Source organism: Homo sapiens, chromosome 17, assembly GCF_000001405.40.
Source record: "Homo sapiens chromosome 17, GRCh38.p14 Primary Assembly".
NCBI lineage: Eukaryota > Metazoa > Chordata > Mammalia > Primates > Hominidae > Homo > Homo sapiens.
In genome coordinates this window covers 68,094,338-68,119,830 of record NC_000017.11, presented here as the reverse complement: position 1 = coordinate 68,119,830, position 25,493 = coordinate 68,094,338, and the positions used below count along the sequence as shown (strand labels likewise).

Sequence of the window (25,493 nt, the reverse complement as noted above, 5' to 3'; positions counted from 1 at the left end):
ATTGTAAAAATATATCACAGCCTATCACCCATTCTCGTTAATGGACATTTGGGTTGTTTCCAGATTTGTTTGAGACGGAATCTCACTGTGCTGCCCAGGCTGGCGTGAAGTGGCATGATCTTGGCTCACTACAACCTCTGCCTCTCAGGTTCAGGTGATTCTCCTGCCTCAGCCTCCCACGTAGCTGGGATTACAGGCACGTGCCACCGCACACAGCTAATTTTTTTATTTTTAGTAGACACAGGGTTTCACTATATTGGCCAGGCTGGTCTCGAACTCCTGACCTTGTGATCCGCCCGCCTCAGCCTCCCAAAGTTCCGGGATTACAGGTGTGAGCCACCACGCCCAGCTGTTTCCAGGTTTTGACTATTATGAAGAAAGCTGTAGTGAACATCTTGTACGTGCTTTTGGAGAACCTCAGTGCTTATTTCTGTGGGTATATACCTGGGAAAGGAATTGCTAGGTTCTTGGATAGATTTACTTTTTTTTCCTGAGACGGAGTCTCTCTCTGACGCCCAGGCTGGAGTGCAGTGGTGTGATCTCGGCTCACTGCAACCTCTACCGCCCCGGTTCAAGCAATTCTCCTGCCTCACCCTCCTGAGTAGCTGGGACTACAGGCACGTGCCACCACACCCAGCTAATTTTTTGTATTTTTAGTAGAGATGGGGTTTCACTGTGTTAGCCAGGATGGTCTCGACCTCCTGACCTCATGATCCGCCCGCCTCAGCCTCCCAAAGTGCTGGGATTACAGGCGTAAGCCACTGTGCCTGGCATGTTTAGCTTTAATAGATACCACCACCAAACAGTTTTCTGAACTATTTGTGCTAATTTATACTCATATTGGCAACAAATGAGCATTCTAGTTGCTCTTTATCCTGGCCAATGGTGTTACCAATCTTTTTCATTTTAGCCACTCTAGTAGATGTGTAGTGGTTTTAATTTTCATTTCCTTGATGACTAAAGATGATACTTTTTCATTTACTTATTGGCCAGTCAATCCTCTTTTATAGAATGTCTGTCCAAGTTTTCATCCCAGTCTTAAATTGAGTTGTATGTGTATGTATTGATTTGAAGGAGCTCTTTGTATATTATAGATATGAGTCTTTTACTGGACAAAAATAGTATATATATCAAGTATCTTTTTCTAGTCTATAGGGCTTGACTTTTAAATGTCCTAATGGTATTTTTATTGAACAGAGATTCTTTTAATGATGTGCAGTTTATCAGTCTTTTTGTTTATGGCTTGCTTGGTTTTTGTCCCATTTAAGAGATATTCATCTCCCCCAAGGATCTGAAGGTATTTGCCTATATTATCTTCTAGAAGCTTTAGTGATTTATCTTTCACAATTAGGTTTATGATCTTTCTGGGATTAATTTTTGTGTGTGGTGTGAGTTAGAAGTCAAAGCTCATATTTTTCCATATGGGTATGTGATTGGCCTCGCTCTGTTTCTTGAATATGATCATGTAAATCACAGAACTGTCAGTGTGGGTCAGCCTCTTCATATTTGCTATTCTGAAGATGCTTCAGTACATCCTGAAGATTTACTTCCTGAAAATGAATGCTCTAGGACCCTGAAGGTTTTGACTGTGCACCTGCCAACTCAAGCTGAAGGTTGAAGAGGAAAGCTCTGCAGCCCCTGCCTCGAGCTGGAGGCAGAGTGACGTCTGCTGGGGATGCAGGCTGGGCACCCCACAGGGCTCCACAGAGTGGCACTGACCATGTTGAGTTCACTCCTGCCCAAGGTCTAGCTTCTGCTTTGCAGGCTCAGGCATCCTGTCTTGCCAGGGCCTCAAAGCTTGATGGGACAGGGTAGCATCTCTGCTCCATAAAAATCTTAAAATTCACATTTGTCTCCTTCCTTCCAGTTCCCTTCACCTACCTTTGTTATTTTATGTTAAAGACATTGGGATGGTCATAATTTATTCCCTCATCTTGTATGATTCTGGGCCAGGCACTTGCTGGAGATACCAAGAAAAAGAACCATTCCAAACAGCCTTATAGCTAGGATGGGGGAACAAAATAAACTTACGATTGGCATGTCAAGAATCTCTTGGAAGTTCAAGAACTATTCAAGAAGGAAGACTCTTAGTCTTCCTTCTCTTTGAGTGCCTGTTTACAGTGGTTATGGTCTCAGCACTAGCTTAATGCTGACACTAATTATTCTAATTTTTTTTTTTTTTTTTTTTTTGAGACAGTGTCTCACTCTGTCACCCGGGCTGGAGTGCAGTGGCACGATCTTGGCTCACTGCAACCTCCACCTCCCAGGTTCAAGCGATTCTCCCGTCTCAGCCTCCCGAATAGCTGGGACTACAGGCACATGCCACCATGCCCAGCTAATTTTTGTGTGTATTTTTAGTAGAAACGGGGTTTCATCATGTTGGCTAGGATAGTCTCAATCTCTTGACCTCGTGATCTGCCCGCCTCGGCCTCCCAAAGTGCTAGGATTACAGGCATGAGCCACCGTGTCTGGCCAAAAAAAAATTTAATAGGCATAGAAGCATGTGCCTATAGTCCTAGCTCTTTAGGAGGCTGAGGCAAGAAGATCACTTGTACCTAGGAGTTTGAGGCTGCAGTGAGCCATGATCACACCACTGCACTCCATTGAGCCTGGGTGACAGAGAGAGACCCTGTCCCTAAGAAATTAATTAATTAAACTACTTATTTGACCTATACATATAATTATAGTACTTAGATGCCACCAGCAGATGATCATGATTAAGTTTTCCCAATAAACATTCAAACTCTAGTTATAAGTAAATAACACAAATTCCACAAAAACTATCAAGTCCTAAGTATGATGTGCAAGAGATTATTTTTAAAAATCCACGCTAGCTCTCCCTCTCCCTCTCCCTCCCTCTCCACGGTCTCCCTCTGATGCCGAGCCGAAGCTGGACTGTACTGCCGCCATCTTGGCTCACTGCAACCTCCCTGCCTGATTCTCCTGCCTCAGCCTGCTGAGTGCCTGGGATTGCAAGTGCGCGCCGCCACGCCTGACTGGTTTTCGTATTTTTTTGGTGGAGACGGGGTTTCGCTGTGTTGGCCTGGCTGGTCTCCAGCTCCTAACCGCGAGTGATCTGCCAGCCTTGGCCTCCGGAGGTGCCGGGATTGCAGACGGAGTCTCGCTCACTCAGTGCTCAATGTTGCCCAGGCTGGAGTGCAGTGGGGTGATCTCGGCTCGCTACAACCTCCACCTCCCAGCCGCCTGCTTTGGCCTCCCAAAGTGCCGAGATTGCAGCCTCTGCCCGGCGGCCACCCCGTCTGGGAAGTGAGGAGCGTCTCTGCCTGGCCGCCCATCGTCTGGGATGCGAGGAGCCCCTCTGCCCGGCCGCCCAGTCTGGGAAGTGAGGAGCGCCTCTTCCCGGCCACCCATCGTCTGAGATGTGGGGAGCGCCTCTTCCCCGCCGCCCCATCTGGGAGGTGAGGAGCGTCTCTGCCCAGCCGCCCCATCTGAGAAGTGAGGAGCCCCTCCGCCCGGCAGCCGCCCCGTCTGGGAAGTGAGGAGACCCTTCGCCCGGCAGCCGCCCAGTCTGGGAAGTGAGGGGCGTCTCCGCCCAGCAGCCGCCCCGTCCGGGAGGTGGGGGGCAGCCCCCGCCCGGCCAGCCACCCCATCTGAGAGGTGGGGGGTGCCTCTGCCCGGCCGCCCCGTCTGGGAAGTGAGGAGCCCCTCTGCCCGGCTGCCACCCCGTCTGGGAGGTGTACCCAACAGCCCATTGAGAACGGGCCATGATGAGGATGGCGGTTTTGTCAAATAGAAAAGGGGGAAATGTGGGGAAAAGAAAGAGAAATCAGATTGTTACTGTGTCTGTGTAGAAAGAAGTAGACATAGGAGACTCCATTTTGTTCTGTACTAAGAAAAATTCTTCTGCCTTGGGATGCTGTTAATCTATAACCTTACCCCCAACCCTGCGCTCTCTGAAACATGTGCTGTGTCCACTAAGGGTTAAATGGATTAAGGGCAGTGCAAGATGTGCTTTGTTAAACAGATACTTGAAGGCAGCATGCTCGTTAAGAGTCATCACCACTCCCTAATCTCAAGTACCCAGGGACACAAACACTGCGGAAGGCCGCAGGGTCCTCTGCCTAGGAAAACCAGAGACCCTTGTTCACTTGTTTATCTGCTGACCTTCCCTCCACTATTGTCCTATGACCCTGCCAAATCCCCCTCTCCAAAAAACACCCAAGAATGATCAATAAATACTAAAAAAAAAAAAAAAACCATGCTAAAGAAACCACCCATCTATAGGTTTAAAAGATAACAGAATGAAAATAAGTCTACAAGTACACACATGTAATGCTAAATAATAATTAATGGGAATTATTGAAAACATAATTTAATTTTGGTTGGATTTAAGATTAGGGAAAGCAGAATTACAATGATCCTTAAAACATTTCAGTAGAGAGCTACAGTGTTTATCCTACATTTATATAAAACTAATTTTCATATTTAGAAAAGAATTCTTATAGTAAATATAATATCAGAAATAAATCACTGGCTGGGTGCGGTGGCTCACACCTGTAATCCCAGCACTTTGGGAGGCCGGGGCAGGCAGACTACTTGAGCTCAGGAGTTCGAGATCAGCCTAGGCAACATGGCGAAACCCCATCTCTACAAAAAAATTACAAAAATTAGCTGGCTGTGGTGGCTTGTACCTGTAGTCCCAGCTGCTCAGGAGGCTGAGGTGGGAGGATCTCTTGAGCCCAGCTTGGGGAGGTTGCAGTGACCCGAGATCGCGCCACTACACTCCAGCCTGGGTGACAGAGGGAGACCCTGTCTCCAAAAAAAAAGAAAAGAAAAAGAAATCAATTTGACTTGACCTGTGAGTTACAAATGTAGCAGAAGCATTATACCTTCTGTACTGAAACATTCTGAGGACCATCATGATATGTACATGTGTATACACACATGCATGCATACACATTCATTTAACAAGGAAAAAAGGCATAACAAATGGAAGCAAAGAGAACCAGTATTCAGTTCGTCATATATCGTTTAAATCTCAAAACTGTTCCTGACAATGTAAAGCAGAGGCAATAACATGCTGAAGGAGAGATGGAGAAAACACAGGGCCTGCAGTCTCATTGGACTCAGATGATCTATTGGGGAGTTCTAAAATACTTGTCCAGTAGCAGTACTATCCTAACCTCATTATGAATATATCTATTAGGATATCCTCAGTAATACAAACATTAGGGAATAGAATACCCAAAAAATAAATGTCGATGAGAAAGTTATACCGCAGGAAATATCTTAAATTGGTAAGTACAAAGATGCGTATGTCATAAGCTGGCAAGCAAGTCCTTACCTGGCAACCCCTCCGTAGTCAAGGCCTTCTTCTCCATGAAATTTTATCATTAATCGCTTCCAGAGATCTTTTGGTCTCATTTTCATGACCTGTCAATATGATTCCTGAAAAAAATAATTTTTAACACACTATTACTATTAGGTCCTGTTAGCCTATTACTTAATTGCTCCCTGCCAATCCGCTCAAAAAACTCAAGTCAAAATAAGGTGAAATTTGGCCAGGTGCAGTAGATCACACCTGTAATCCTCAGGTGGGAGGATCACCTGAGGCCAGGAATTCTAGACCAGCCTGGGCAACACGGTGAAACTCTATCTGTGCAAAAAAGTTTTTTCTTAAATAGCTGGGCATGGTGGCAGGCGCCTATAGTCCTAGCTACTTGGTAGGCTAAGGTGTGGGAGGACTACTTGAGCCCAAGAGTTCAAGGCTACAGTGAGCTATGATCATGCCACTGCACTCCAGCCTGAGTGACAGAGCAAGACCTTGTCTCTTTTAAAAAAATAAAGAGGCCAGGTGCAGTGGCTCACACCTGTAATCCCAGCACTTTGGGAGGCCGAGGCGGGTGGATCACGAGGTCAAGAGATCGAGACCATCCTGGCAGACATGGTAAAACCCCATGTATACTAAAAATACAAAAATTAGCTGGGCGTAGTAGTGGGTGCCTGTAATCCCACCTACTCAGGAGGGTGAGGCAGGAGAATCGCTTGAACCCAGGAGACGGAGGTTGCAGTGAGCTGAGATCACGCCACTGCACTCCAGCCTGGGCAACAGAGCAAGGCTCTATCTCAAAAAATATATACACATACATATTTGTATATGTGTATACAAATATGTATGTGTATACACATATATTTGTATATATGTGTATATATTTTTTGAATATATATATGCTTACATTCTAATAAAATTAAGTTTCTTCCTTTCTTTTGCCTTTTAGAAAAAATATACACATAAAATAAGGCAAGCAAAAGCAAGCCAGGCACAGCAATGTCTCAGGCCTATAATCCCAGCACTATGGAAGGCCAAGGCAGGGGATCACTTGAGGCCAGGAGTTCGAGACCAGCCTGGGCAACACAGTGAGGCCCCATCTCTACGAAAAATAAAAAAAATTTAAAAATTAGCTGAGCATGGTAGTGCATGTTTGTAGACCCAGCTATTCAGAAGGCTGAGGTGGGAGGATCACTTGAGCCCAGTTCAAGATCACAGTGAGCTCTGATTGTGCCATTGCACTGCAGCCTGGGTGACAGAGACCCTGTCACAAAAATAATACAAGCAAAAACGATAAATACTCATAATCCAACCCATACTTAACACACCAATCACCTCCTTTCTTTTCTATGGTCACATTTTAGATATGTTTATTCTTTATATCCCACCTTTTTCCAAAAATGATTTGAGGGGACTGACAGCTGGTAAACAAGCAAACTTTGTTAAGTCCTGGTTGTCATAATCCTCTTTCATCACATAGTAAGAGATGAAAAAGATTAATTAATTTAAAAATGTAAGGTTCATAATAGAAATTCTGAAAGGAAAACTACAGGACCCCATCTAGGCTTTTTCTGATTTCTTATATCTCCATTCATGGTACCACATAATAAAAATAATATCTGTCACATATCAAAAATGATAAATACTTATTGGCTGAACAAATTAAACAATGGCTCCAAAGCATTACAAGATTCTAAATCAAAGACTCAATTTGTTTGAAAGCTGCTTTATTTTAAAGCTATAGTAATCAAGACAGCACGGTGTTAAAAAGAATAAACTTAAAGGGGTAGAATCATAGATAAAGAAAACAGAAGACAGTCCAGAAATAGAATTATATGTATATTGTCAACTGATTTTTTTGTTTGTTTTGAGACAGAGTCTCATTCTGTCACCCAGGCTGGAGTGCAGTGGCACCATCTGGGCTCACTCCAACTTCCGCCTCCTGGATTCAAGGGATTCTCTTGCCTCAGCCTCCTGAGTAGCTGGGATTACAGGCGCCCGCCAGCATGCCCAGCTAACTTTTGTATTTTTAGTAGAGACGGGGTTTCGCCATGTTGGCCAGGCTGGTCTCGAACTCCTGACCTCAAGTGATCTGCCTGCCTTGGCCTCCCAAAGAACAGGCATGAGCCACCACACCTGGCTTGTCAACTGATTTTCTACCAAGGTGCCACGACAATTCAATGGAGGAAACAAAAGTATTTTCAACAAATAGTGCTACAAAAATGGAATATCCATATGAAAAAAAAACCATGACTCTTACTTCTCACAGCATATTAAAAAATTAACTTGAAAATAAGTTTAAACGGATGAGTTAAAATTATAAATAATGCTGAAGAAAACACAGAGAGAATCTTTAGAACTCTGGGTTAGAAAAAGAGTTAGGGCCGGGCACGGTGGCTCACACCTGTAATCCCAGCACTTTGGGAGGCTGAGGCGGGTGGATCACCTGAGGTAGGGAGTTCAAGACCAGCCTGGCCAACATGGGGAAACCCCATCTCTACTGAAAATAAATAAAAAAAAAAAAATCAGCTAGGCGTGGTCGCGGGCGCCTGTAATCCCAGCTACTTGGGAGGCTGAGTAACGAGAATCGCTTGAACCCGGGAGGTGGACCTTGTAGTGAGCCAAGATCGCGCCACTGCACTCCTGCCTGGGTGACAAGAATGAGACTCCATCTCACAAAAAAAAAAAAAAAAAAGACTTAGTTAGGACTCAAAAAACATGAACCACGAAAGAAAAAAAATTGATAAACAGGTTTCATCAGCATTCAAAACTTCTTCTCTTTGGGACATCTTTTGGGGGCCGGGTGGGAGCTACACTCCAGGAGGAAATATTTGCAAAGTATTTATCTCATAAAAGGCTTATATCCAAAATACATAAAGAATTCTCAAACTTAATAAGAAAACAATCCAATTTTAAAACATGAACAAAAGACTTAGATATTCACCAAAGATTATATGGACAATAAATAAGTGCATTAAAATATGCTTAAAACTGTAGGTTATTAATGAAGTAAAAATTAAAGTATAAAGAAATATCTATACCTACCAATTAGAATGGCTAAAATCAAAGACAATATCAAGTGCTGACTAGGATGAGGAACTACTGAAACTCATACAATGCTGGTAGAAATGCAAAATGGTACAACTTTGAAAAAAAAATTATTATTATTTTTTTGAGACAGGGTCACCCATGCTAGAATGCAGTGGTGTGAGCATAGCTCACTGCAGCCTTAACTTCCCAGGCCCAGTCAATCCTCTATTAGCTTCTTGGGTAGCTGGTACTACAGGCATAGGCCACCACACCTGACCAATTTTTGTATTTTTTGTAGAGACGGAGCTTTGCCATGTTGCCCAGGCTGGTCTCAAACTCCTGGGCTCAAGCAATCTGCCCAGCAGATTTTTAAAAAGTTAAAATGCATACTTTTTGTATGGTGCAACAATCCCACTCATTTACCCAAGGGCAAGAAAAACATGTTCACAAAGAGCCATGTACTCAAATATTTATTCGTAATGGCCAAAAACTGGAAACAACAAATGTCTGTGGATATTTACAAACAGATAAACAAATTGATGTACAATGCAATATTCCTCAGGAATGAAAAGGAACAAAGTACTGATACCCAGCATGGATGAATCTCAAAAGCATTATGTTAAAAGAAGCCTCACCCAAAAGACTGCAGACGGTATGATTCCATTTACACAAAATCCTAGAAAAGGCAAAATTATAGTGATAGAAAACAGATCAGTAGTTGACAAGTTCTGGGTATTAAAGAAGACAACTGGCTATGAAGAGGTAAGAGGAAACTTTTTGGGAAGAAATGGGAAGAGCATTGCATGATTGCAATCATCTATGTGGTAATTCCTCCCTAAAAATTAATCATCACAGTTTATTTAAAAATTTAAAATTTAGGCCAGGCACAGTGGCTCACACCTGTAATCCCAGCACTTTGGGAGGCCAAGGCAGGCGGATCACCTGAGGTTGGAAGTTCGAGACCAGCCTGGTCAACATGGAAAAACCACGTCTCTATGAAAAATACAAAAAAAAATTAGACTGGCATGGTGGCGCATGCCTGTAATCCCAGCTACTCGGGAGGCTGAGGCCGGAGAATCACTTGAACCCGGGAGGCGGAGGTTGTGGTGAGCAGAGATGGCGCCACTGCACTCCAGCCTGGGCAACAAGAGCAAAACTGTCTCAAAATAAATAAATAATTTAAACTTTATGTCTGCTATCAATTTTTGTATAAAACCAAACCAAACTGCCAATCAAACTTAAGATTAGGTTTTGATACTTTTTAATACAATATCAAAGGTGGTTTTTAAAAAAGGTAGCCAATGCCATCAGAAGCTATTCTAAAACAGAGAGTCTGTCTGAAACTATTCTTGTTCAGGAGACTGCTCGTATTTAAAAAAATTTTAATAAAATAAACAAAATTTCTCACTTTGTTCAACTACTTATATGTTGGGGAGGAATCCAAGAGAAAAGAAAAATTTTAAGTGTTAACATTCAACTGTAACAAGTACCAAACACTTGATACCTAGAAAACTAACATCAGCTGGGCACAGTGGTTCATGCCTGTAATCCCAGCACTTTGGGAGGCCAAGGCAGGCGGATCACCTAAGGTCAGGAGTTCGAGACCAGCCTGACCAACATGGAGAAACCCCGTCTCTACTAAAAATACAAAATTAGCATGCCTGTAATCCCAGCTACTCGGGAGGCTGAGGCCGGAGAATCGCTTGAACCCAGGAGGCAGAGGTTGCAGTGAGCCAAGATGGCGCCATTGCACTCCAGCCTGGGCGACAAGAGCGAAACTCAGTCTCAAAAAAAAATAACAAATAAATAAATAAATAAATAAATAAATATATAGATGGGGTCTCACTATGTTGCCCAGGCTGGTCTCAAACTCCTGGGCTCAAGTGATCCTCCCACCTTGGCCTCCCAAAGTGCTGGGATAACAGGCATGAGCCACCACGCCCAGCCAAAATTGTTCTAATCAAGCAAAAATACATATAACTGCATTCCTAAATACAAGCAATAACTAGGATTAGAAAACACAATGTAAATCAGACAAATATAAATTATCTGAAATTAAATTCAAACATAGGAAGAAAATTATAAAGCTATCCTGAGCAATATGAGCCAAAGCTTAAATAAATGTAAAAACTTAGCATGCTCCTGGGTAAGAAAACTAAATAAACTTAGATGCCTCTTTTTCCCAAAGTAAGGAAATTCTAATAATAATCCCAATTAAATGTCTTTTTTTTTTTTTTTTTTTTTTTTGAGACACAGTTTCACTCTGTCACCCAGGCAGGCTGAGGCTGAGTGCAGTGGCATGATCTCGGCTCACTACAACCTCTGCCTCCTGGGTTCAAGTGATTCTCGTGACGCAGCCTCCCCAGTGTGCCACCACGCCCAACTAATTTTGTATTATTAGTAGAGACAGGGTTTCACCATGTCGGCCAGGCTGGTGTCAAACTCCTGACCTCAGAAGATCCACCCTCCTCAGCCTCCCCAAAGTCCTGGGATTACAGGCGTGAGCCACCACGCCCGGCCCCAGTGAAATTTCTTATTAAACTTAACAAGTTTAATATTTATGCGGAAACAAAAAATAAGAATAGCAAAAAAAAAAAAAAAAAATTGGGAGGCCAACGCAGGCAGATCACTTGAGGTCAGGAGTTCGAGACCAACCTGACCAATATAACCCCATCTCCACCCCAAAAAAATTAGCTGGGAGTCGTGGCATGCACCTGTAATTCCAGCTACTAGGGAGGTTGAGGCAGGAGAATCACTTGAACCCAGGGGTTAGAGGCTGCAGTGAGCCAAGATCACGCCACTGTACTCCCTGGGTGGCAGAGTGAGACTCCATCTCTTAAAAAAACTGGCCTAGTGAGAATATTAAACTAAATTATAAAGCTACAATATTGAAAACAGTATGGCACTGAACAAGAGATATATCTGACTCTATTATAATTAACTGAAAAGATACTACATCACTGTGGAAAGGAAGAACTGGTTAATAAATAATGATGAGACGGCTAAATAGGAATTGAAGGGGGAATAGTTTATTAAAGCATTTTTAAAAAACACTAAATATAACGTACTTATTCATCAAACTCCTTGAAGAAAAAGGTTTTCCAAGTATAGAACAGGAAAAACAAAACAAGAGTTGGACAGATTTTGACTCCTAAGATAACACATTTCTACATGTCCAAACAATGACCAATATTAAAAGACAAATAATTCACCATGGAAATGTTTGTAGCAAATATGACAACAGATTAATATATTTGTAAGTATCAGGTAGATCAATAAGAAAAACACTAAGGCTTTAACATAACTAGGACAAGGCCAAACAAATCAATGAAAATAAATATGATTAGTAAACAGACAGGAAAATATTCTGCTTCACGAATGTTTAAATGGCACATGCCATGAAATTAGCAAAATATTTAAAATGCAATTAGCTAATGCTTACAACAGAATAGTAAAAAGGGACATCTTTATTTACTGCTGCTCTAAACAGGCCCAACTCTTTTAAGAAAGAGCCTAAAGGAAAAATTAATCACAAAACCTTAAAAATATCCACACACTTGAACTCAGTAACACTATTTTTATGGAAGCATCCTAAAAAAAAAAAAAATCCTTTTAAAAAAATCAAAGTTACCTACACCAAGATGCTTACAGCAATTATTTGTAATAAAAAATTTGGAAATAAATGTTCAAACAAGAAAAAAAATCTGAACGATGGCTGCTGTTGAATCTTCTTAACCAGTTATCCTAAAACCAGTCTTCATGGCTCCCATTCCAGTCCATCCTCCATATTGCTCCCAGATTGTGTCTAAACAACAAATATATCAATGCTTAAAATCCTGCAATGGCTCCCACCACCTTAAAAAAAATGAACCTCTTGGCACACTATAATAAGGTCCTAAACTAGGTTGGTCCCTGTCCAAGAGCCTCACCTCTTGCCACTCATACCCAGTGCGTTAGCCATAAAGAACACACGCAGAACTATTCGGAACTATTTATAGCTCTCCAGCATTCATTAAATAAAATGCCAAAAAGGTCTTAATCCATGCTCACACAAGGATCCTGACTTCATGGAACTTAAAGCATAGGAACAATAGATGCCTATCAGCGGGTTAGGTCTGATACTAAAAGAAGAGTTTCCTAGAGTCACAGAGGACAGTTCAACTCAGGTCAGGGAAAGTTCTAGGGCTAACAGTAATCCTTGACTTGAGCCTTAAAAGATGGGCAAGTATTGCTAGGGGCGAGTGCAATTCCAAGTGAACAGAATATGTCAATTTTATTTTTCCACACAAATTCTAATAAACTTGTAATAAGCTTTCTAGACAACTTTGGTTGTGACATGTACTTCTCCAACTTTCAGTTTCTCCTATCACTTAGAGCTACTATGAAAATTAAAAGTGATAATAGATACGAACTTAACATAGCATCTGGCACTTAAACTTTCAATACATGTCAATCATACAGAAACACGTAACAATGCTGATTACAACGGCGTATTTCAAGGGTTCAGCATTCTTAGACAAAGAAAGTATCAGTAAACAAAAATGAAGGCAAAGAGAAAAACTAGTAAGAACAAGTTAAATGACCTATCACCATTTAGCCAGGGTGAAATACTTCTCTCTACAGGCCCTAATGAGATCCTCACATTGCATATGCAACAAAACAATAATTTATATTCATAATTATATTGAATCATAAGTAAAACATTAAGTTCTACTAAGTATGATCTATTTGAAAAGAGGAGGACATACTACATCTTTAAGACTCTCACCAAGAAAGACTAAAATAGGCCAGGCATGGTGGCTCACACCTGTAATCCCAGCACTTTGGAAGGCTGAGGCAGGAGGATCTCCTAAGTGGAGAAGTTCAAGACCAGCCTGGGCAACCTGGAGAAACCCCATATCTACTGGAGAGGAAAAAAAAAAAGTAAAAAAAATTAGCCAATCACAGTGGCGCGTACCTGTAGTCCCAGCTACTTGGGAAGCCAAGGTGGGAAAAGCACTTGAGCCAGGAGGTCAAAGCTGCAGAGAGCCGGGATCACTCACTGCACGCTGTTGCCACTGCACTCCAGCATGGGCAATAGAATGAGACTCTGCCAAAAAAATAAAAAAGGCTAAAATAAAATCTTGTATGCCTAAGTGTGACCCTTCATTTATCTTGAAAACTGAGTTATGCTAAATGAGATGTTAGTATGCTGTGATAGTAACAGCTCAACCAACAAGAAAAAAGTAAAAGTGATGACTAAAATACACAGACTTTACTATGAATACCAAACTACATCAAGGACCTTGACATGTTCTACTGCCTGCCTGAAGAGGGTTAGACTAGTAGACAGGATTTAAGAGAAAAGGAAAGAGCTCAGCTACATTGTCTTCCTTCTCAGAAACCAAGAAAAATAAAATGAACTGGGGACATTCAAATCACTAACACCTATAGTATATAAAAGTCATTATGGGCTCGGTGCAGTGGCTCACGCCTGTAATCCCAGCACTTTGAGAGGCCAAGGCAGGCAGATCACCTGAGGTCAGGAGTTCAAGACCAGCCTGGCCAACATGGGGAAACCCCATCTCTACTAAAAATACAAAAAAAATTAGCCAGGCATGGTGGCGGGTGCCTGTAATCCCAGCTACTCGGGAGGCTGAGGCAGGAGAATCGCTTGAACCTGGGAGGCGGAGGTTGCAGTGGGCCAAGATTGGGCCATTACACTTCAGCCAAGAACAAAATTCCATCTTAAAAAATAAATAAAATCATTATGGTGTATAGGCATACTTAAAAACCTGTCAAACAGAATGAAGCTATAATTTTTAAAGCCTTGACTCGATAAAATATGTAGTGTACCAAGATTAAGATGCTAGCATATCTAAAGGAAAATTTTTAAAGTTAAATTTCCTTACACTATAGACAAGTTTAACCTCCTTATTGCCAAGGGCTTTGAAATTAATAACATGAGAAACAGCATACAAAAACATTAAATGTATAAAAATGTCTGAAATAAATGTTCTGGAGGAGTAATCTTATTCTACTTCTCCATACCTAAGAATTTAAAATATTAGAAATTACACTAAGCTGCTTTTTCCAGCCTTTGGTTTTCAGAAACAATAATGGTCTAAAAAATTATCCCAAAGTTTTTACTGTAAAGAATATTTTTCTAGGCCGGGCACCGTGGCTCATGCCTGTAATCCCAGCACTTTGGGAGGCCAAGGTGGGAGGATCATGAGGTCAGGAGATTGAGACCATCCTGGCTAACACGGTGAAACCCCGTCTCTACTTAAAATACAAAAACAAAGTTAGCCGGGCGTGGTGGCGGGTGCCTGTAGTACCAGCTACTCGGGAGGCTGAGGCAGGAGAATGGCGTGAACCTGGGAGGCGGAACTTGCAGTGAGCCGAGAGATTGCACCACTGCACTCCAGCCTGAGCGACAGAGGAAGACTCCAACTCAAAAAAAAAAAAAAAAAAAAAAAAGAATATTTTTCTATCCAACCCATTGGAAGAAAAGCCTGTATAAGACAGTCATATAAACATAATGATATAGAAATTATACATTTTGTCATCAATTTGTTATAGAAATATTAGTTGAAGTTAATAGTGTTACCACACAGCCCATTTTAATGATCATATGTTAATGTGTCATAAAGAACAGAAGTAGCTTGATGGATGAAATCGGATTCTAACCCCCAATTGCCTGAGGAATCTAAAATTTGGGATTAAATTATTAAATTAGCCCCACCTTGTTAGCGTTGACAAACACCAAACAGTTCACTGATAGTGGTTTTAAGAATAGTATGTGGAAACGTCTAATATCAATTGTGGGCAGAGATCTCATGGTTTAAATGTTTCCTTTTCTTCAGAAAGAGAGTGTGTATGAGTGTGTGAGAGAGTGTGTGTGTGTGTGTGTGTGTCACCACGCAAGAAATGTTGATACCTTTCAGTAAAGGGGCAATTCCACAATAAGGTTATTACCAAGTAACTGAAGTTTATACAGCATCTTGAAATCAAAGGTACTCTATAAATTTAAAATACTAATATGTTATTAACTTAAAGCAAAGAACAATAATTTTAAAACATCTTATAGCCCAAGTGTATTGTAAACCAAATATAAATTCGCTGTGGGATCTGTCTTTTTTTAAGTGATTTTTTTTCCTCTATTAGGGAACCCAGATCTAAATGAACTGTCACTTAGTCTAAAGGTATGCCAAACATTTCTTAAGGTCTTCACAAAGAATCAACTTTTTTTTTTTTTTTTTTTGAACAAAATGAGGCCTAGGTTAAGTATTTTATTTGGCTTCTCAAGATGGACTGAGAAGTTGGGCACCAGCTCCAGACCAATTCCTGGACACACATCAAACACAGCCCTGTCATTTATCCAGTCAGTCAAAACAATCTTTTCCATCTAACCCTTTAATGTTTATGTCCTTAAAAGCTGCTAATTGAATCCAGTTCTTGAGATCTATTTGCTAAAATCTATACCATCTAATTTGTAAATGATGAACAAAAATGAAAAAAACAATATGTTAACTTTCCTGGCAAAACAGAAGAGACTCCACTGTAACCAAAGAAGGAAGGACAATGTTTTTAATATTTGTCAAATTTTAAGAGAAAACTATTCAGAGACAAATAGTTGTAAGAAACTTAGAGTACCTCAAACTGTTTTTACTATTAAGAGGACACAGGGTATTTAAAATTCCTCAGAAAAACCTGAAACAAAATCACTCTATAAATGTAGCTCAATATTCCCTCTTCCCCTAAAAGATAAGCATAATCTTTCCTCTTAACAAACTTTACATACAGATTTTTATAATGTATCTTAGGCAGTACAGAAACTGCAGATAAACACTTTAAGATCTATTGAGTCATACTAAAAACTTCAACTCATTTTATCTGCAGAAAATCAAAATCCCTACTTTTTCCTCATTTTCTCTATATAGCCCAGAGGAAAGTAAATGGAAACAGCCTATTTCTGATGCTTTCTGCACACCTGGGATCACATGTTCTTTCCACAATCACTGACTCCAGATAGTAACAGCAACAGATAAACTCCAAAGCAACAAAGATCCCCTACAAAGGTTTCCACTGACTCCTCCCAATATAAGGACACTGAATGGGGGGTGGGGGGGAATATAAGTATCCTCCAATCCAGGTTTTCCATTAAGAACCACTCAGTTAATGATTCCTGGCAATTTTCCCTAGGGAAAGGAAAACTGTCATGAAGGTAATACATTATCTAAATTGCAGCCAACATACACATTCAAGCTAAATTCTCAAATACCAAATTCACTGCAAGTTTTCATCCAGCAAGTTTAGCCAGTGGACTGGGATGTGACACACAAGCATTCAACTGCAAAATTAGTCCAAATAAATCTCAAAGTCTAGTGTGGGCAAATATAATTACAGTTTATTAGTACATGTGCACGCACACACAAATCCTCTACGGAAAATTATCTTTCTCACCACTCACCCAAATATAAACGTGGACAATTTATCAGGGGTAAATGGTGAAGGTAGGATAACGCCGTGATTCCAATTCCTTCTCAAACCAAATACAAGTTCTCCTAAAACGGGGGTGGCATGTCCCTGTAAGAATACCAAAAATGGCACTGTAAGCAAAACGTACCTGTAATGTTAAAGATTTCATGCACCTGGAATCATAAACACTTTGTAAGTGTAGTCTTCTATCTAGCAACCCCTCTGGACACTCTTTTCCATTTCGAAAAAGGAAGGGGGAGGGTGGGGAGAGTAACAGAAAGTTTGTTCGAAAATTTGTATGAGGACATACTTAGAATTGTACCCTCTCCGCCCCCCCACCAAAAAAAAAAGTGTGTTTTTAAAGCAGGTCTGGAGCTAGAAGTGAGACACAAGTTCTGCGGCCTATAAGGAACAACCCCCAAACATGCCACCCTACAATCAGACACTTCCAAAACACAGTGTACAATGAGCCCAAGCCGTCGGATCAGACAGGCACACCGGAAGTCAACCTGTCTCCCCTCCTCAGAGAGACGTGAGTTTAAGGTGTGTGACCCTGGCAGCGGTGGCCGGCGGCGGGGAGTAAAGGTTTTTCACGCGGGCATAAGTGGGTGTGTGCAAGGTAACAACCCGGGAACACAGACGCACACCCTCCCGTTAAGCGCTCCATCTTTAAGGAGTGTTTACTGCGCGCAGTCAGCAACCGAATTCAATAATCCTCGCCACGGGAGCTCTTCATCCCCTTCACGATCTCACCTGGGCGGTAGCCCAGGGGCTGTTCCCCGAGCCCCGGGAGGCAGCGTCGGGCTCCTTGACCAAGACTTTCCGACCTGAAATCCGCCTGCGATGCGAACTGGTGTACCCTCCCCTCCACAAAACACCACCCCCCCGCCCCGAGTCATCCTCGGCTTTTTAAACAATGTCCAAACCGGAACAAGTGGTTTTCCAATTGCTCTCTCTGAACTAGGCCTTCCCACACCTCCGACCCCCAACTCACCACTGATCGCGACCCTGGCCCTTCCCAAGGCCACAAGCACCCCTGCCAGCTCGCCCACCTCGCGGCTGCCCAGCCCGGCCCGCCGCGCCCCCTTCACCTGTCAGGCGCACTTCGACAGGCCCGTTCCTACGGCCTCCGAGGTTAGACATGTCCCTGGCGGCTGGGGCGGCGGGCGGGACGGGGGCGACGGCGAGGCGCGGCGGAGTCACCACAGCGGCCGGGGCTGGGGCCCGAGCAGCCGGCGACGCGACTGCAGCGGCCTGAGGGTCCCGGATGTGCCAAGCGTCGTCGCCATGAGCCGCGGAGGGAGCGGACGCCACGGCCTTTCCCTCCTCTAGGCGAGGCCTAGTAGCGGACAGGGCTGGTCAGCTGAGGTGGGCGGTGCTCGGCGGCACGGGAGCAGGACTGTGGACTTGGCCGCTTCCTCCTCCACCCGCCCCCTTGTCTGAGTGACGCCGGACCTGAGGCCGCCGCGGCCATTTGTCGGCTCCGGGGGGGCGAGGGGGAGATGGGAGGCGGGGCCGGTGGGGTCAGCGGGGCGGGGCCGGCGGGCGCGCGCCAGATGCCCGGAGCGGGCACCGGCACTGAGGGAAGGTGTGAGCTGCCGCCGAGGGTCCCAGGCGGAACGCGGGAAGGGAGCAGGCAAGGAGCAAAGTGGCGGCGGGAGCGGCAGCTGTGACCCCTGGAGGGGTTTAGTGTCCGGTCCACTCAAGGGAGAGTTTTAGACCAAGCAGGGCCGACTGCATTTATTAGACGCCCACAGCATGCAGGGCGCTCCAAGAGGCTGGGGCGAGGAAAATTAGAACCAAGTCTGCTACCCGCCGGGAACTTGTCGTATTTCTGGCGAGGGAAGAGACAGCATTCCCACGCCGATGGTTCCAGCAAAGCCCCAGGAGTGCTGTTCCTGGTCTTGTAGTTGACGCCTCCATCCGGGACTCACCTGGTGGAGAAAATCGGGTTACCTGCAGAGTCCCGCTCTTTTCAGGTGCAGCCAAGGATAGGGAGATGATACGTCTTAAAGAATTAACAAGATAAACCTTGGAGTAACGTATGAAGAGTTGTTCATACACTACTGTATTTATCTCAGGAGCAGAAAGATAACAACTTTCTAAAGATGTACCATATCCTTTGACCTTGTAACTATACTGCTAAAATTTTTTTTTTTAAGACAGGGTCTCCCTGTCACCCAGACTCACTGCAGTCCCAACTTCCCAGGCTCAGATGATCCTCCCACCTGAGCCTCTGCAGTAGCTGAGATCACAGTATGCACCACTACACCCCACTAATTCTTTTATTTTTGGTAAAGACACGTTTAGGAGGGACATTTAGGTTTCTCTATGTTGCCCAGGTTGGTCACGAACTCCTGACCTCAAATGATCTGCCTGCCTTGGCCTCCCGAAGTGCTGGGATTACAGACCTGAGCCACCGCACTCAGCCCTATTGTGTCCAGAATTGGTGGGCTCTTGGTCTCACTGACTTCAAGAATGAAGCCACAGACCCTGGTGGTGAGTGTTACAGCTTTTAAGGTGGCGTGTCAGGAGTTCGTTCCTTCTTGACCTTAAGATGTGTTCGGAGTTTTTTCCTTTAGGTGGGTTCTTGGTCTCACTAGCTCGGGAGTGAAACTGCAGGCCTTGGTGGTGAGTGTTATAGCTCTTAAGGCGACGTGTCCGGCGCTGTTCATCCTTCCCGGTGAGCTTGTTGTCTTACTGCCTTTAGGATAGAAACTGGAGACTTACGTGGTGAGTGTTACAGCTCATAAAAACAGTGTGGACCCAAACAGCAAAAAACTGAAACTTCACACTGTGTAAAGAGACGCGAACGAGTTACCACTGCAGGCTCTGGCAGCCTGCTTTTATTCTCTTATCTGGCCCCACCCTCATCCTGCTGATTGGTAGAGCCAAGTGGTCTGTTTGGACAGGGCGCTGATTGGTGTGTTTACAATCCCTGAGCTAGATACAAAGGTTCTCCACGTCACCATCAGATTAGTTAGATACAGAGTATGGACACAAAGGTTCCCCAAGGCCCCACCAGAGCAGCTAGATACAGAGTGTCGATTGGTGCATTCACAAATCCTGAGCTAGATACAGAGTGTTGATTGGTGCATTCACAAATCCTGAGCTAAACACAGGGTGCTGATTGGTGTGTTTACAAACCTTGAGCTAGATACAGAGTGCTGATTGGTGTATTTACAATCCCTGAGCTAGACATAAAGGTTCTCCAAGGCCCCACCAGAGTAGCTAGATAGAGTGTCCACTGGTGCACTCACAAACCCTGAGCTAGACATAAAGGTTTTCCAAGACCCCACCAGACTCAGAAGCCCAGCTGGCTTCATCCAGTGGATCCCCCACCGGGGCTGCAGGTGGAGCTGCCTGCCAGTCCTGTGCCATGTGCTCGCACTCCTCAGCCCTTGGGTGGTCGATGGGCCTGGGCGCCGTGAGCAGGGGGCAGGGCTTGTCGGGGAGGCTCGGGCTGCACAGGAACCCACAGAGGCGGGGGAAGGCTCAGGCATGGCGGGCTGCAGTCCCGAGGGCTGCCCGGCGGGAAGGCAGCTACGGCTCGGCGAGAAATTGAGCGCAGCGCCGGTGGGCTGGCACTGCTGGGGGACCTAGTACACCTTCCGCAGCCGCTGGCCCGGGTGCTAAGTCCCTCATTGCCCGGGGCCGGCAGGGCCGGCCGGCTGCTCCGAGTGCGGGGCCGCCAAGCCCTGGCCCACCCGGAACTCCAGCTGGCCCGCAAGCGCTGCACGCAGCCCCAGTTCCAGCTCACGCCTCTCCCTCCACACCTCCCTGCAAGCTGAGGGAGTGGGCTCCGGCCTTGGCCAGCCCAGAAAGGGGCTCCCACAGTGCAGTGGTGGGCTGAAGGGCTCCTCAAGTGCCGCCAAAGTGGGAGCCCAGGGAGAGGAGGCGCCGAGAGCAAGCGAGGGCTGTGAGGACTGCCAGCACGCTGTCACCTCTCACTATTCTTGACAATAATACAGAAGATGTTCTTTGCTCTATTCCATTAAAAACAAAAGGGGAATGAGGGAACAGCATAATGGTCCAGGAACCACATGGTTTTTTATGCAGCCATTTAACTATTTTAATGAAGATCATATAATATGGAAGAATGTATATGTAATGCAAAGTTTAAAAACAGAATAAAAGTTGTATGCATATACATGCAAAAGTGTCTAGCACAAAGTAAACTAGTAAGGACAACAGCGTGGGGGATTTTTTTTTGAGACGGAGTCTCGTTCCGTCGCCCAGGCTGGAGTGCAGTGGCGCCATCTCGGCTCACTACAAGCTCCACCTGCCGGGTTCACACCATTCTCCTGCCTCAGCCTCCCAAGTAGCTGGGACTACAGGCGCCCGGCACCACGCCTGGCTAATTTTTTGTATTTTTAGTAGAGACAGGGTTTCATCGTGTTAGCCAGGATGGTCCCAATCTCCTGACCTCATGATCCGCCCGGCTTGGCCTCCCAAAGTGCTGGGATTACAGGCGTGAGCCACCGTGCCCGGCCACGTGGGGGATTTTTTATGTGATTCATTAGTTTTGCTTTAGGCTGTTATAACATTAATGCAATTTTAAATGTTTCAGATTAATATATTTTAATCCTTATTCCATGCCAGTCATTTATTTTAATCAATCAGTGAAGTCACTTCTCCAAATAGTTACCTCCGAGAGCATTTGATCAGTTTGGATACAGCCCTACAATTAAAGTAATCCAAAAAAGTATATGAAGTTCTAGACATCACACTAAAAATACCACAGATAGGCTGGGCACGCTGGCTTACGCCTGTAAACCCAACACTTTGGGAGGCCGAGGCGGGCGGATCATTTGAGGTCAGGAGTTTGAGACCAGCCTGGCCAACATGGTGAAACCCCGTCTGTACTAAAAAAAAAAAATACAAAAAAATTAGCCAGGCGTGATGGCTTATGCCGGTAGTCCCAGCAATTAGGGAGGCTGAGGCACGAGAATCGCTTGAACACAGGAGGTTACAGTGAACCGAGATCACACCCCTGCACTTCAGCCTGGGTGACAGAGCAAGACTCCATATCAAAAATAAATAAATAAATAAAAATAAAAATACCAGAGATAGTGCCAGCAATTCATTCAACAAATATTAAGTGGCCATTTTGTGCAAAGCAATGAACAAGGTCCTTTAGAAATGCTTCTTTGTACTACAAACATATACAAATCAATGTGAACAATAGCTGCTACCACAATTTAAGAGGTCAGACGGTGGCAAAAAGCTTAGCAAACTGTTTCACACATTCACATTTACCTTATTTTTATGGCACACACTTTGTTCCCAACCATCCAATGAACATAATTTGTAGTCTTGTATTAGGTAATAGAAGTTAGGATTTCAGAACGTAATGGGAGACTTGGGGGAGACTGCTTGTTTTGAAGTTGAAAGCAGTACATTCAAATATGTAAGTAACAGCATAGAAAAATGTATATAGGGTTAACGTGCAGAGGTTTGTATTTAGGCTTTCCTGTAAGGTTAAATCCTGTTGTTTAAAACAAATATTCAGATAACAATAACACTTTAAAACCATTCAAGAGCTGGGCATGGTGACTCATGCCTGTAATCCTAGCACTTTGGGAGGCCGAGGCAGAGGAATCACTTGAGCCCAGGAGTTTGAAACCAGCCTGGGCAACGTGGCAAAATCCCATACCTACAAAAAATTAGCCGGAAGTGGTGGCATGCAACTACAGGCCCAGCTACTCAGAAGGCTGAGATAGGAGGATCACCTGAGCCCGTGGAGGTCAAGGTTGCAGTGAGCCGTGATCATGCCACTCATTCCAGCGCCACTGCATTCCACCCTCGGCAGCAGACTGAGAATATCACACACAAAAAAAGAAAATCAATATACTGGTAATGATTTTTTTTAAGTAGTTACATGGATGTTCATTTTATTGTTTTCCTTGCCATGTTAAATATTATTTGACATTGACCGAAACCTTTTTTTTAAAGTAACTAAACATTTAAAATGAAGTAAAATAAATGAAAAAACAAAACAGAATAGGGGCCGAGCATGGTGGCTAATGCCTGTAATCCCCACACTTTGGGAGACCAAGGTGGGAGGATCACTGGAGCCCAGGAGGTCGAGGCTGCAGTGAGCCATGATTATGCCATTGCACTCCAGCCTGGGCAACAGAGTAAGACCCTACCTCAAAAAAACAAACACACACAAAAACAGAACACTCCTAATAGGAAAGTCATTTTGAAGGCCTCTCTTAAGTGAGTGGCCACAACTAGTCCAGGCTCAGATTTCAGAGATGATTGGGTTAGAAACCTTAAAAAAAAAAAATAAAAGTCTCTATGTTTCTCTTCCCTTGGGTTTATGTTTATGTCTCCAAAGGGGGATATATGTACATTATAATGACAACATGTAGGGAATTACCAAATTAATAGCCAGAACTTGGGAAAGATAAGACGGAAAATTAAGGGATGGGAATCTTACGTAAAATGAATTATATACATTCAGGTGTAAAATCTTTGAGGAAAGGAAAATACCACTGGACATGAAAACAGGACCATTCTTTATTTTTTATTATTATTTATTTATTTATTTTTTAAAATGTTTATAGGTTTATTTAACAATGTGAAGTAGTCCTGGGAAGTTGTACTTTGAGCAAGGTCCGCAAGCAGTATTCCTGCACTTCTCCAGTCATGCCCCAGCGCCAGGTCGGAAGCTGTCCACATGCGGGGATGGAGCCTGGCGTCCTGGGCCCACAAGGACAGGGCCCTGAATATGGACTTAGCAGAACAAAGTTGGGAAGGCAACTGCACTCACCCCTTGTGCCTCCTGTGGTACCTGCCCTTCACGGTTCCTGGTGGGGACACTCAGGCACCAGCTTCATGGCTGGACTCAGATGACACAACGCCAGGAAAAAAAGTAAAAGCCCCATTACCCTTTCCAATGCCTAGATAAAATAGATGTCTAATAAAAACCTGCTAATAATCATTTATTGTTTGTTTATATACAATTAAAACAAACATTAAAACAATCATTTAAAAACACTCTTTTTTAATGAGTGTGGGATAAGGACGATGATGGCCTATGGGGCTCCCTGTCTTACAGCCCTTGTCCTCAGGCCATGATTTGACCTCAGAATGATGGTGACTCTAGCAAGGCACTGGGAAGCCAGATTCTGCTGCATTTGTGTGCAAATCCTCTATGAGTTACAAATGGCTCCATGCACCAGCAAAACCTCTTAGTTCTTAAGAAAAGGAGACGGAAGAGATTTGGACACCGAAGAGAAACACAGCCATGCCTCAGCTCCCTGCTGGTAGGAAAATGTGTGCCTAAGGTTGCTTTTCTCTCAAGCTTCCATATTTTTGTTTCCTCTTGCGGAGCTGCCGCTGGAGCTGGAGCTTGTTGGTGAAGAACAGCTGTCTCCAGCCCGTGTCCTCCGCCAGGGACCTCACGTCAGGAGTGATGGTGTCGCAGATCGACTGGACTATCTGTTCCCACAGTTTATCAGACATGCACAGCTTCTCCAATTCCTGCAAGGTGTGAGCACTTCTTGGTCTTGAATGTAGAAGATATTCTATTCTTCTGTTAACTTTTGCCATTGCACACCATAAAAAAAGAATGAAACCATGTCCTTGCGGCAACATGGATGCTGCTGAAGGCTGTTGTCCTCCTATCCCAAACAGCACCAGCCCTGGCCAGCCCTGTTGTGCTGTGGCCCTCTGTGTCCTGACTTCCTCCTTTGCAAATCTGTGTGATGTTTGACAAAGCCTAGCAATATCTTCAAGATCCAGATAAGAAATGATATTCAGGAGCAAATCGTCTGAGAGCCGTTCAAGGAAGTCAAATTTACCTTTGCACAAATTGATAACATAGTCTAATATTCTTGCACCAAATATTAAGGCAGTTTGACCTTGAAGATGTAAATTCTCTAGGAAGTCTTTGTGGGTTTCTTTTGCTTCTCCAGGTTTTGTTGATCAATACTCACTCCTTAGAGAGATCTTCCACCATCCAAAGATTACCTCTCTGTTGAGTCAAAGTCCAAGTTTCTCAGGAATAGTGGTGAGTTCTCCATGTCATGATCTACTGGCCAGCATCAGGTAACATGCCCTCCATCCCATCTGTAGTTCGTTATCAGTTGCACAGGTCAAGGCTGCAGGATTCTCCTCCTGGTACCCTCTTGGCAACACTGCCCCACTGGTGGCTGCAGAAGAAGGTGCCTAATGGCTCCCTGAATACCGCAGGAGGCTAGGGAGCTGGGAGGGTGTCTTAACCTGTCCACCCACCACCTCCTTTAGCAAAGTGCTGGGGATGCGAGGCACTTTAGATTTCTCGGCTGGCTCTCCCATTCATCTGCAGCCCTGTGAGAAAGGTCGGGTGGAGGTTTGCTCAGCCACTGGTTTACTGACCTTCACTCCCCAACTTGATTGAAAGCTGAGGATGCCTCACGGGAAACAGGCATGAGCCACCGCGCCTGGCCTGTTTTGTTTTGTTTTGAGACAGAGTCTTACTCTGTCGCCCAGGCTGGAGAGCAGTGGCATGATCTCCGCTCACTGCAACCTCTGCCTCTTGGGTTCAAGCGATTCTCATACCTCAGCCTCCTGAGTAGCTGGGATTACAGATTATAATCTTACAATTACTTACAAGATTCTATAATTACTTACAAGATTATAATCTTACAATTACTTACAAGATTCTATAATTACCTGCAAGATCATCATCTTACAATTACTTACAAGATTCTATAATTACTTA

The 25,493-nt window shown here is 44.0% G+C and overlaps 2 long non-coding RNA genes and 1 pseudogene across 2 annotated transcripts in view, besides 5 other annotated features; 1 reads left to right on the top strand and 2 right to left on the bottom strand.

Annotated features, from left to right (window-relative positions):
- Positions 1-18,276, bottom strand: part of LINC00674 (long intergenic non-protein coding RNA 674) — a 34,375-nt gene extending 16,099 nt beyond the window's left edge. The window contains exons 1-4 of the long non-coding RNA NR_027418.1: positions 17,872-18,276; positions 16,773-16,888; positions 13,278-13,409; positions 5,306-5,409 (exon numbers count right to left, since the gene is read on the bottom strand). This is a non-coding gene — a long non-coding RNA (long intergenic non-protein coding RNA 674). The remainder of the gene's footprint in view (positions 1-5,305; positions 5,410-13,277; positions 13,410-16,772; positions 16,889-17,871) is intronic.
- Positions 17,377-18,155: an enhancer, noted in NCBI's record as "H3K27ac-H3K4me1 hESC enhancer chr17:66097817-66098595 (GRCh37/hg19 assembly coordinates)". NCBI's record gives its function as "activates a minimal SCP1, AML or CMV promoter by ChIP-STARR-seq in naive and primed H9 embryonic stem cells {active_cell/tissue: H9 hESC(naive and primed)}" and the evidence as "EXISTENCE:reporter gene assay evidence [ECO:0000049][PMID:30033119]".
- Positions 17,842-18,001: a silencer, noted in NCBI's record as "silent region_8889". NCBI's record gives its function as "represses an Ori minimal core promoter by ATAC-STARR-seq in GM12878 lymphoblastoid cells {active_cell/tissue: GM12878}" and the evidence as "EXISTENCE:reporter gene assay evidence [ECO:0000049][PMID:35858748]".
- Positions 18,156-18,935: an enhancer, noted in NCBI's record as "H3K27ac-H3K4me1 hESC enhancer chr17:66097037-66097816 (GRCh37/hg19 assembly coordinates)". NCBI's record gives its function as "activates a minimal SCP1, AML or CMV promoter by ChIP-STARR-seq in naive and primed H9 embryonic stem cells {active_cell/tissue: H9 hESC(naive and primed)}" and the evidence as "EXISTENCE:reporter gene assay evidence [ECO:0000049][PMID:30033119]".
- Positions 18,162-18,221: a silencer, noted in NCBI's record as "silent region_8888". NCBI's record gives its function as "represses an Ori minimal core promoter by ATAC-STARR-seq in GM12878 lymphoblastoid cells {active_cell/tissue: GM12878}" and the evidence as "EXISTENCE:reporter gene assay evidence [ECO:0000049][PMID:35858748]".
- Positions 18,272-18,411: a silencer, noted in NCBI's record as "silent region_8887". NCBI's record gives its function as "represses an Ori minimal core promoter by ATAC-STARR-seq in GM12878 lymphoblastoid cells {active_cell/tissue: GM12878}" and the evidence as "EXISTENCE:reporter gene assay evidence [ECO:0000049][PMID:35858748]".
- On the top strand, positions 18,335-23,729 carry LOC124904048 (uncharacterized). The gene is made up of 2 exons (XR_007065885.1): positions 18,335-19,279; positions 23,353-23,729. It is a non-coding gene; the product is annotated as an uncharacterized LOC124904048 (long non-coding RNA).
- FBXO36P1 (F-box protein 36 pseudogene 1) lies at positions 23,341-24,762 on the bottom strand (annotated as a pseudogene).